At 39.4% G+C, this 12,309-nt stretch overlaps 1 protein-coding gene across 55 annotated transcripts in view, besides 2 other annotated features; it reads left to right on the top strand.

Annotated features, from left to right (window-relative positions):
- Positions 1–12,309, top strand: part of PHF21A (PHD finger protein 21A) — a 192,136-nt gene that overhangs the window by 135,924 nt on the left and 43,903 nt on the right. For all 55 annotated transcript variants that reach the window (NR_147890.3, NR_165446.1, XM_047427091.1 and 52 more), the window contains one exon: positions 5,565–5,771. Coding sequence is in view for 53 of the 55 variants with exons in the window: in XM_047427091.1 (XP_047283047.1) it covers positions 5,565–5,771 (207 nt within the window). In the remaining 2 variants the exon portion in view is untranslated. The remainder of the gene's footprint in view (positions 1–5,564; positions 5,772–12,309) is intronic.
- Positions 2,199–2,493: an enhancer, noted in NCBI's record as "tiled region #8215; HepG2 Activating non-DNase unmatched - State 23:Low, and K562 Activating DNase unmatched - State 1:Tss". NCBI's record gives its function as "activates a minimal TATA promoter and a strong SV40 promoter by Sharpr-MPRA in HepG2 and K562 cells {active_cell/tissue: HepG2 | K562}" and the evidence as "EXISTENCE:reporter gene assay evidence [ECO:0000049][PMID:27701403]".
- Positions 2,992–3,889: an enhancer, noted in NCBI's record as "H3K27ac hESC enhancer chr11:46003193-46004090 (GRCh37/hg19 assembly coordinates)". NCBI's record gives its function as "activates a minimal SCP1, AML or CMV promoter by ChIP-STARR-seq in primed H9 embryonic stem cells {active_cell/tissue: H9 hESC(primed)}" and the evidence as "EXISTENCE:reporter gene assay evidence [ECO:0000049][PMID:30033119]".

The following is a 12,309-nucleotide window of genomic DNA, read 5'->3' as shown; positions in this document are numbered from 1 at the left end:
CCCTCCAATAACTCCAGTGCAGATTCTCTTATTGAATTTTACTTGCATTAAGGAGGGAGTTTATCTTGAGTTTCTCTTCTGTGTGTTTGTCCATAAAATGGCATTCTGTGTTTTTGTTCATAAAATGGTGAAATCTTCACTTAGTTTCTGTTTCCATTAAACAATACATACATTTTACTCTAGATTGTAATTTTGTCTCTAATGTTATGACAGTAACACATCCCCTCTTCTTTAGAGGATAATTTTGTGGCACATTCTGAAGACTGCCCTGTCTCCTTCCTGCATCCTCAGCGTTGATGAATATTGGTGTGACTTATCAATGCAGTGGCTGAGTTTTAGTTAGACGGTAGAAAGTCTTTTTTTTCCTCTTTGAGTAAGTTCTGATCTCATCAACAAATAAACATTTCTCCAGGTTAGTTTTTCCATACGCGTAAAATTTAGTATCCTTGGTTTCATTTTGAGCAATTGGTGTGTCTGAAGACCCAGAAAGATTTTGAGTAAGATTTGATACCTTTCTGCATTTGTGAAAAGTTACAAGTCTCTATCAGCCTCTGGTATAAAGAGTGAAGGTTGTATTTTTAAATTGCATGTTGATTCATGGAAGGAATAAAAGGATGCATCTTTAAGGCAATACTGTGTAAGAAGATGTCTTGAGTGGGTGTGGCCCTCTAATAATTGATACGCAACAGATACTGCCATGTAGAGCACAAACCAGTGGAGTGACTGAATGTGTGAAAAAGCAGAGACTTGCAGCACTGACATCCAGTTGTGGAGGGCAGGGTCTTGGAGTTTCTTTTGAGAGAAGCTTTCTAAAATTTGTGGGAGCAATTTTTGATAGGAATAAACTGGTGGGTTGATTGGGTGGGGGCAGTCCTTCCGTCTCTCCGTCTCCCTTCTCTGTTGACAAAAGCCATGGAACGTGACTTAAACGGTGGAAAAACGAACCTGATTTTCTGTTGTATTAGACCTATAAAATTCCGTATTTTTCTTCAGGATCTGTCTTGCTGTCGTGTGAACACGTTGATAGTATCGCTGAATGTCACAATATTGATCACCGTGACTACCTGTCTTGGAAACTGTGACTTGAAGTGTCAGAGGCTCTGTGAACTCTTCTGCCTGAACAAGCCCTGATGAAACCCAGTGATGCGAATGTCAAGGGAATCTAAGGCTCCTTGTTACATGCTGGGTTTATGGAGCAGTTCTTGACAGATGGATTGAAGTGGGCGGTACTAGCAGTTCTGGAGGCCTGGCATGTTGGCTTATTGTTTATAGAAATATATTAAGAAGAAAAGATGATAAGTTATTAATTTTTTCTCCCTCTCTCCCTTCCGTCTTTGTTCTTTCCAGCTTTCTTTTTTCATTTCCCTGATTTTTTCCCTCTCTTTTAACTCTCATTAACTTATCAGTGAATGATGAATGGCCAGTTTGTGAAATTTAGCCCTTTCTCAAAGCTTCAGGATAATGTTCCAATATAGTTAGCTACATTTAAAGATCTCCATTATATGTGAATACCTTTGAAAATATCAAATCATGTATGCCAGTATAACCTTCGTCAGTGACCAGCAGCAGTCATGACGTCTTCATTTAAAACACATAGTAGTAAAAATATAGGCTCATCTCCTGTGGAGATGAGAGGATATCCTTTATATAGGGAGCAGTGAGAACCTTGGATGATACCACACAGCTAGGGTTTTTGAGATATTTTCGCCGTATTCTCTTGCTGCCACCCAGAAGTGGTACTGACCTAAATCCGGGGTCCCTCTGAAGTCATTTGAGTGCTGTGTTTGCCAGAGCTGCAAGACTGAACTAGAACGAGACTGGATTGTGAGACTTAGAAAAGCCAGCTAATATGCACAGCAACTCTCCTTTACTCCCAGTCCTTGGAAGAGCCTGCAGGGCCTCCACACCTAAGGAGCACCTCTGCTGCAGAGCTCACCTGGCTTTCAGTTACTGGTTTCTAAGTGCAGTCATCTATATTTAAGTGACAGAGGGCATCAGTGCTTCCTCAAAATCTTGATTTAAAAATTTTTTTTTTTCACAGATAGCAACAGACATGTATAACCACACACGCAGTATTCTAATCTGGTGAACACAGCAAGGAGTAAGGGACAATTCATTTCTGAGTGGCAGTTTGACATACCAACGCTATCTTTTAAAGAAAGCTTTACCCAGCTCATATGATCTGACCTGTAATGCAGAGCTCTCTTTCTTTTTCCTTTTTTTTTTCCCTCCTCTCAAGGACTGATGTAAGTTTGCAAGTATTTTGATCATGTCCCCCCACCAGCCCCCACCCCAAGCTTCCACGGCTTTGTTTCAGGCCCTGGGGGAGGAGCAGTTGTGAATGCAGTGTGACTCACTTGACTCCCACGCTCCTGATTCTGGTTCTGATTGGTCGTCACCTTGCTCTAGCCATATGGCTGAAGAGTAGTACTCTAGCCCGCATCCCTTGCTCCTGCTTTCCCTACTGTTCCCTTCTGTTGTACATGACATTGGAAATGGGTTCTGGGCTTTGTTTCTTGCTTCTAGTGTACTTTAGCTAGGCAGTGATTAGGAGAGCACATTGTGTTTCCTAAGGATGGCTGTAGAGGAGAAAAAAACACCCTTTCCTTTTGTGACTGGTATAGTAATTAGTTTCCTGTGCTGTTTTTGTCCAAAGTTTATTTTTTGGCAGGTGTCATGTTTATGTTGTATTATTTCCTCCTGATTTATCTCCTTCTTCTGATTTGATCTGTTTTGGGTTTTTTATTGTTGTTTTTGTTTTGTAAGAGCTCTTAGGGTTCCTTTCTCTGGCTGCTGATGCTGCACGTTAGCTAGTTCGTTAATATGTTTGATGTCTGATGGGGAGGAGGACTGAAGCAACTCTAAATAATTACTTAATTTTTAAATGTCTAAATGTTCTAGCAGTCACCAAGCAATAAAATTTACATGAGATTCTCAACATTATCTGCAGCACCACTGCTATTACTTTGCCTTCTCCTAAACTACAGCAGTTTAATTATTCTGCCTTTTATATTGGAGAAATAGAATTTTGAAGACTTGAAAGTTAACTTTATAAGCATTTGATATTTTATTAATTTGCATTTTTATTATTCTGCAGATAGTTTCTGCAAAGACTTTAAACTCTGCATCATTTAAAAAAAAATATTTACTCAGAGAGGCAGTGCTAGCAGAATATAATGCATAGCAGAATTTTTCCCCCCAAAATTGGCCTTTATATGATATTTTAGTTGTCTGAAAAGAATCAATAATAAAAATATTTTTCTAAAAACCTCTCAGCCGGGCGTGGTGGCTTATGCCTATAATCCCAGCACTTTGGGAGGCCAAGGTGGGCAGATTGCATGAGCTCAGGAGTTTGAGACCAGCCTGGGCAACATGGCGAAACCCCATCTCTACAAAAAATAAAAAAATTAGCTGGGCATGGTAGCACGCTCTTGTAGTCCCAGCTACTTGGTAGGTTGAGGTGACAGGATCGCTTGAGCCTGGGGCGTGGAAATGGCAATGAGCCAAGATTGTGCTGCCGCACTCCAGCCTGGGTGACAGAGCCAGACCCTGTTTCAAAACAACCAAAAAAAAAAAAAAAAAAAAAAAAAGAAAAACAAAAAGAGAGAAACAAACCAAAAAATAAAAACAAACAACTCTCAAGAGAACTTTTTTTTTTACTTAAAGATTTTAGAAATTCATTTTATACATATTTTAATGTTCAAATATGTTAAATGAGTAATCCACAGATTTGGATTCTTCAGAGAATATGGGGGATGAAGTTGGTTAGAGCCATAAGCAGGCATTTGAGAATTAACCTGGCTCTTATGGTTTCATCTAACTATTTAAAGCTCTTCATTCACTTCTTTTTCTTCATTCATAATCTATATTAGAAAATCACAATCTATTTTTATCAGAAATAGCACACCTCTGCTAATGAACTAACTTGAAAGTGTATGAGATATGAGAGGAATGCTGCTTATACCTTCTTCCTCCTATTAGGGCAGGAGAGTCAGAGCCCAAATATGGCCCCAAATAGTTATTATATGCTTTATGAGCCATTTGTTGGTCTTTGGTCCCACCACTTTACACATCAGGTAAAGAGAACAAGGACATTTACTGAGCAATATAGTTTTTTTTTTTTTTTTTTTTTTTTTTTGAGACAGGGTTTCACTCTGTCACCCAGGCTGGAGTGCAGAGTGCAATGGCATGATCTTGGCTCACTGCAACCTCCATCTCCTAGGTTCAAGCAATTCTCCTGCCTCAGCCTGCTGAGTAGCTGGGATTACAGGTGTGTGCCACCATGCTTGGCTAATTTTTGTATTTTTAGCGGAGATGGGGTTTCACCATGTTGGCCAGGCTGGTCTTGAACTCCTGACCTCAAGTGATCCACCCACCTTGGCCTCCTAAAGTGCTGGGATTACAGGCATGAGCCACCGTGTTGGGCCAGCAATATAGTTATAAGTGCAGAGTATAGTTGTGAACCAAATAAGCCCCTGCACTCATGGGGCTTACATGCTGTTGAAGTGTATTATAATAATGAAGGTATCCAGAAACACATTTCTCTTGGATTTGAGCAAGGCCTAGAAAGTTTGAAGAACTTTGACATTAATTTTTCACTCCACGCAGTTAAATCCCTACTCTGCCTAAACAAACGTGTGTACCGCCACAGAACCTGTCCCAGCAAAGAAGTCCTGCTCATGAGTTACACATTTCAGTAATTTAGAATGTGTTGTTTATATGGCATATTACTGGGATCAAGGTTTCTTTGTTTAACAGTCTGTTTAATGTTTTCAACTGGGACAGATACATGATGTTTGCTTAATAAAAATTACTATGGCTAGTATCTGTGTTATCATATGCAAAAAATAATAAGCTGGGCCCAGTGGTGTGTGCTTGTAGTTCCAGCTACTTGGGATGCTGAAGTGAGAAGATTGCTTGATGCCAGGAGTTCAAGGCTGTAGTGCATGCACTATGACTACACCTGTGAATAGCTACTGTACTCCAACCTGGGCAGTATAGAGAGACACTATCTCTAATAATAATAATAATGATCAACAATGTGCCAATCACAGTTCTGAGTACTTTCCATATAACAAGTCATTTGGTGCTCATAAGAACCTCAAGGGTACTGTTAACCACCTCATTTTAAAGAGCAAGACAGTGAGGCACAGGTAGGTTCATAAACTTACCCAACATCTTAGAGCTGTGAGTAGCAAAACTGAAATTGGAGTTGAAGTAGGATGGCTCCAGAGTCCTGCTTTTTACTGCTACGTTGTATACTGCTCTCAGCATGCTAAGTTAATAATAGGACATCTGAGCTCTGCTGTGTGATCTCCTTCAGATTTTTCATTTGTGTGCCTCAGTTGCCCTTTATATATAAAACATTTCTTACACCATCAGTTTCATATTACCAATAATGTATATTAAATGCTTTAAGCTCTTCATATGTAGAACCTGTGTAAATTTAGATGTAATAAGTTTTAGATGAAGCTATTTATAGAAAAGATGTCAGAGCATATTTCTGTGCAGCTGATAGAGCAGTATTCTAATATCTTTTATTTCTTTTTGTCTTCATTTGGTAGAAAAGAGTAGTTGAACAGCTACGGAAGAACCTGATAGTAAAGCAAGAACAACCGGACAAGTTCCAAATACAGCCATTGCCACAATCTGAAAACAAACTACAAACAGCACAGCAGCAACCACTACAGCAACTACAACAACAGCAGCAGTACCACCACCACCACGCCCAGCAGTCAGCTGCAGCCTCTCCCAACCTGACTGCTTCACAGGTAAATGTGTGGATGGAACATTGCAGGCTGCAGATTGTAGACTGATTTGTTGTTGGTCATATAGAACTGGGTCCTGTCTCACACTATACTAAGCTCAGCTAGAACTAAACAAAAGTTATTTTGATTGCTTTTTTACAGTATAACCCAGATAAGTATCACTTGTAATCATTGGCAGAAGGAAATAACATTACTAAGAAGCAAAAATTAAATGATTTCCCACCTGTCTGAAGAAGGGGAGAAAGGTAGTCAATAACAAAAATCAATTATCTGCTTTACAGCAGAATTAAAACCTTATTTTGAATTTTTGGAGGTATTTATTTACACTTGTTCTAAAAGTTTGTGACTTGACCTCTTCTGGAATTCTTAGCAACTAGGCATAGAGCTATTCCAGGATCAGTGCTCTTGGGACCAGATAGAAAGAAGCATTTGGAAGGGTGCTATGGCTGGGCTCAGTAGCTCATGCCTGTAATCCCAGCACTTTGGGAGGCTGAGGTGGGCAGATCACTTGAGGTCAGGAGTTTGAGACCAGCCTGGCCAACGTGGTGAAACTTCATTTCTACTAAAAATACAAAAAAATTAGCCAGGCCTGGTAGCAGGCGCCTGTAATCCCAGCTACTCGGCAGGCTGAGGCAGGAGAATCACTTGAACCCAGGAGGCAGAGGCTGCAGTGGGCTGAGATCACACCACTGCACTCCAGCCTGGGCAACAGAGCAAAACTCCGTCTCAAAAAAAAAAAAAGAAGAGTGCTATATTTGCACTATTCATAGAAACACTCATTTTTAAGCCCATATTTATAAGAAAATGTATTTGTTCTAATACACTGATGGGAATCTGAAATGAAAGCTACAGGTCAAAACTAAAGAAATGGGAGCTTAATAAAATTCTAACTTGGTGTAGCTGTGCAAATGTTTTTACCAAAAAGGGCATTTAAACAAGCATACAATTTAAGAATCGTGAGGCAATCAAGATACACAAAAAGGGCGTATTTGGAAATGATATTCCAAATGATACTTGGATCCTTGAAGGTCACAGATCCCTTTATGACTCTGTTGAAAGCTATAGATCCCTCTCCAGAAGAATATACATTCACACTTAATACACTCATTTTTGCACACTTCAAGGACTTTGGGATCCTCTGAAACCTAAGCGTGGATACCTCTTACAACCAACACCAGGTCTTCACTGTGTCTTTATATAGAGAGAAAAAGAGTATAGTTCAGTTGGCTGTTCACTGTTTATGGACATTGGACTGGTTCATGTGCAACATTTTGCAAGTAAAGAATGAATTTTTTATAAGAACACTAAAGATAAGTTAACATTTAATAGAGGTTACTGTATACTGGCAGTCTCCTAAGTGTTTTACATAATGGACATACTCCTCACCCTAATCCTAAGAGGAAGTTATTATTATTACCATCTCTGTTTTTTTGTTTGTTTGTTTTTTTGTTATTGTTTTTTTGAGACGGAGTCTCACTGTGTCACCCAGGCTGGAGTGCAGTGGCGCAGTCTTGGCTCACTGCAACCTCCACCGTCTTGGGTTCAAACAATTCTTCTGCCTCAGCCTCCTGAGTAGCTGGGACTACAGGCGCGTGCCACCATGCCCGGCTAATTTTTGTATTTTTAGTAGAGACAGGGTTTTACCATATTGGCCAGGCTGGTCTCGAACTCCTGACCTCGTGGTCTGCCCGCCTCGGCCTCCCAAAGTGCTAGGATTACAGGTGTGAGCCACCGCAACCGGCCCACCATCTCTGTTTTTTAGAAGAGAAAACTAAGGCACAGAGAGGTTACATAATTTACCTAAGATCATGGAGGGTGGTATGTGGTGTAGCTAAGATTTGAACCTAGATGTTCTGGCTGAAAAATAGGTCCATTCAACTACTCTTCTGTACTGCCATTCAATACCAAAAAAAAAAAAAGAAGAAGAAGAAAAAAAAGAAAAAAGCAATACCAATACTGTATAAAACCAAAGAAGGAAAAAGAAAAATCCCTGTTGTAAATCAGATAGCTAGGACAGCCTACATAAATTTTTACCCTAATCACCACCCCAAGGCTATTTGGAAATTAGGCATTCAAAACTGACTTTAAAAATCTCCTTACCAGCACTTGTATTAGTTCTGAAAGAATGTTTAGAGGATAATTTTTGTTTAAGTTTTAAACAGAATTGGGTTAGGTTGTTCTCTTTCCAAAGTACAGGTTGATCAGAAAATGTTTATCTGAAAGGAGTGTGGTAGAATTCATTGTTTCCTGTTACATAGGAGTTTTCTGTCTTAACCCATGGAAACATCCTGTTCAAGTAACATTTTATGTTATAAAAATCAAAGGAGGCTAGGCACAGTGGCACACGCCTGTAATCCCAACACTTTGGGAGGCCGAGGTGGGTGGATCACTTTAGGTCAGGAGTTTGAGACCAGCCTGGCCAACATGGCAAAACTCCATCTCTACTAAAAATACAAAAATTAGCCATGCGTGGTAACATATACCTGTAATCCCAGCTCCTCAGGAGGCTTAGGCATGAGAATCACTTGAACCCGGGCAACAGAGGTTCCAGTGAGCCGAGATCGTACTGCACTCCATGCTGGGCGACAGAGCAAGACTCCATCTCAAAAAAAAAAAAAAAAAAAAATCAAAGGAAGCATTTCCAAAATATAATAGCTTTTCCTTTCCCTGGTAGTCTGTGTTGCTTTGGGATGGTGAATGGTAAGAGGCCCAGGGCTGCCTCCAAAACAGTGTTGTATAGCACCTCTCCATCCAGTAGCCCACCTGACATATTTAATTGATTTTGCCAACCTTTTTTAAATATTGTTTTATTTAATGCAAATGATGCAAATGTTTAATGTTAAAAACCAAAAGGATCCTCTGAGTTTTTGGTTTTTGAGTTTACAGGTAAACTACAAATCTGGTTTTTGGTGTTTGTTTGTTTGTTTTTTAGACAGGATCTGGCTCTTTGACCCAGGCTGGAGTGCAGTGGCACAATCTCAGCTCACTGAAACCCCTGCCCCAAGCCATCCTCCCACCTCAGCCTCCCGGGTAGCTGGGACTACAGGCACAGGCCACCATGCCCAGCTAATTTTTGTATTTTTTGTAGAAACAGGGTTTCACCATGTTTGCCAGGCTGGTCTCAAACTCCGGAGCTCAAGTGATCCACCCATCTCGGTCTCCCACAGTGTTGGGATTACAGACATGAGCCACTGCGCTTGGCACTACTAACCTATTTATTGGTACTACCAATCTATGTGGTAGATTCTGGTATACAAAGAGCAGTGGTCCCTGCCAAAAGTCTGGTATATCATTATTAATAATTTTTATTCATTCTGTAAATATTTGTGGAGTTCCTACTGTGTGCAAGCACTGTTCTAGGTAATGTGGAGACTAAATTCACAAATCAGAGAGTTTCTATTTTCAAGAATTAAAAAAATTTAAGATGTAGAGAAATTTTGAGGACAGAGTAATTTTGACTAGAGGGATCAGAAAGTACTTGTCAAGGAGGGTTGCATCTGAGCAGGGCCCTGTCAGATGAATGGGATTTTAGTGATAGAGCAAAGGGGAAAGAGCTTCACAAGTATAGAGAGTAGTATGAACAAAAGGATGGCGTCAAAATAGTAAATGTATGCCCTGGGAATCGTAAGTAGGCTGGTGTGGTTGGAGTGTGTGATCCACGAAACGATGGAGAGGAGATAAGGCCAAGCCCTCCAAAGCATGCCAGAGCTTCTGGGTTTTTTAACAGTCATAGGGAAGTCTAAGGCAAGGACAAATGGGAGGTTATATATGGCATATATTAAATACATATATTTAATGTATGAGGGCAAGGACGAATGGGAGGTTATATATGGCATATATTAAATACACAACTTCAGAAAGAATTAAATATTAAGTAGCAATCGGGGGGCCAGGGGGAGATGCTAAGAGGAGAAAGTTTTTTATTCTAAGTCGGGTGATTGGCATATACCAAGGCGTAGAGAAAGCAATGAGGAATTCTTTTTGGGAGAGGGAATGGGAACAGTTTGCTTTACTTAGTTAACGTCAACTCATGCTTATAGGTGTATTTTAAAAGTTTTCCAATCTACAGAAAAAGTGAAAGAATAGAACAGTTAAATACAGGTATACTCTCCAACCTATATTCACAGCCCTCTAATTTTTAATGGCATAATGCAAATGTAAAGAAGAAAGCAGTTAATAAAACCAAATGGAAAACAAACCTTTGGAGACAAAAAAGGGAAAAGTTTCTATTTGTGGTTGTTTGAGTATACATCATGACTGCATTCAAAATTAAACCAGCAAAATAATATAAAACAGATGTGGAAGTTAGATCCCATAGTAATAATCCCTTAAATTCTGATTTGTATATTGGAGTTCATCTGTTTTATTTTATTTTGTTTTGTTTTATTTTATTTTATTTTATTTTATTTTATTTTATTTTATTTTATTTTATTTTATTTTGTTTTCTTTGAGACAGGGTCTCACTGTGTCACCTAGGCTGGAGTGCAATGGTGCAATTACGGTTCACCTCAGCCTTGACCTCCCAGGCTTAGGTGATCCTTCCACCTCAGCCTCTCAAGTAGTTGGGACTACAGGTGTGTGTCACCATGCCCAACTAATTTTTGTATTTTTTGTAGAGGTGGAGTTTCACTATGTTGCCAAGGCTGGTCTCAAACTCCTAGGCTTAAGTGATCCGCCCACCTTAGCCTCCCAAAGTGCTGGGATTATAGGCATGACCCACTGTGTCCAGCCTGAGTCCATCTGTTTTAAATCAATACTTCATATTTGGCAGGCAGACAACAATGACTTAGCAAATAAATAAATAAATAAAAAGGATTTTGCTATTGGCAGTATTTGCCATGCCATGTATTTCTGCATTAACTTCTAGCTCATGCAATTTGGGTTTTGTCAAAATAAAGGACCCCATCATGAAACTGTGGAGAAACAGCTACCTTCTCTTAAAGGTGATCATACTTAGACACTGTTAACTAGCTAAAAACAAATCACAGCTTTCATATAAATAAATCTCTTGGTTGGGTGTGGTGGCTCATGCCTGTAATCCCAACACTTTGGGAGGCCGATGTGGGAGGATTACGTGAGAGCGAGTTCTAGACCAGCCTGGGCAACATAGCGAGATCACGTCTCTACTAAAAATAAAAAAAATTAGCCAGGTGTGGTAGCACCTGCCTTTAGTCCAAGGTACTCAGGAGAATGAGATGGGAGGATTACTTGAGCCCAGGAGGTCAAGGCTGCAGTGAGCTGTGATTACGCCACTGCACTCTAGCCTGGGTGACAGAGCAAGACCCTGTCTCAAAAATAAATAAACAGCAATAATAATAATAATAATAATAATAATAATAATAATTTGTCGTTTGACACCTTTCTTCTCTATGTCTCTTCTTCCTCCTTCCAGAACAGTTCAGACATTTTAATTAGACTTGGATTTCAAAGTTCTAAATTCCTTTTGTCATCTAAACCCAGGAGTTTGGTTTGTGTTCCCTAATACTTGGGAAAGAAGAAGCACCAGAGTAGGGGTAAAGATCTAAGCACTACCTGGGTCTTGGTGTCAATAAATAGTAAATATATTCTTCAAAAAGTTTTCACTGAAGCATACAGTACTAGGTCTTGTGCCTGTATACTAGACAAACAGGTATGTAGATGCTAGAAATCATGTAGTGAAATCAGCCATAACCATAGTTGTAAAATAAAAGAAAACTGCTAACCTAAGATGTGAACAAACTTGTTAGGTTTCAGTGTTTTTAAAGTGTTGGGTTAATGGTAAGTATATAATTCAGGTGAGTTTGAGGCTTTAGTCAGTATTTTGTAGAATCATCAGTTTAGAGTTATTCAAAATATTGATGATTTACTTGAAACAAAAGTACATTGACTTCTCTTAAAGCAGTAACAACATGCGTTTCTTTAAAATCCATGTCAGTGAGTTCTGACTAGAGCTTTACTCCCACAATCCACGATAGCACTGGATTGAACGCCATCTGGTGTGACTGGATCACCACTTCAGAAGTTCTTTAAATCGACATGTTTTAAATGGAAAACAAGGGCTAATACACTGTGGTAAAAACACTTACTACAAATTGCTGATAATGCAGTCAGTCCTTGCTGTTACACTACTATTAATATACCATTTCTAATAATAAATAGCATTTGGCTTTTATTTGGTTTTCATCACTGATCGAAGATAGGTGATCCACTGCACCCCAAAATAAATATCAGTGTTCCGCGTTTACTCTCATTTCACATTTAAGGAGGCAATGGCAAAGAGAATAAGCCACTTAGCGAAGAGGAAACAAAGATTTGGATGATGATCTTAAAAGATTAGATAATATGTGTATATGCGCATAAGGCAGAAAAATAGAGATAAGTAACTCCCTAGAAGCAAACAACTTAATACCCCTAAGTAGAAAAGCATAGACACTGAAATAGAAATTCATAAGGGAAGTTGTCCAGATGTGTTTCTGAGAGAATGGAGGTACTTTTCACTGGTATTGCACAGTGATAGAACTTTCTGTGATGTTGGAAATACCGTCTATCTCCACTGTCCAGT

The sequence above is a fragment of the Homo sapiens genome, chromosome 11 (genome assembly GCF_000001405.40).
Source record: "Homo sapiens chromosome 11, GRCh38.p14 Primary Assembly".
NCBI lineage: Eukaryota > Metazoa > Chordata > Mammalia > Primates > Hominidae > Homo > Homo sapiens.
This window is presented reverse-complemented; position numbering and strand designations above follow the sequence as displayed.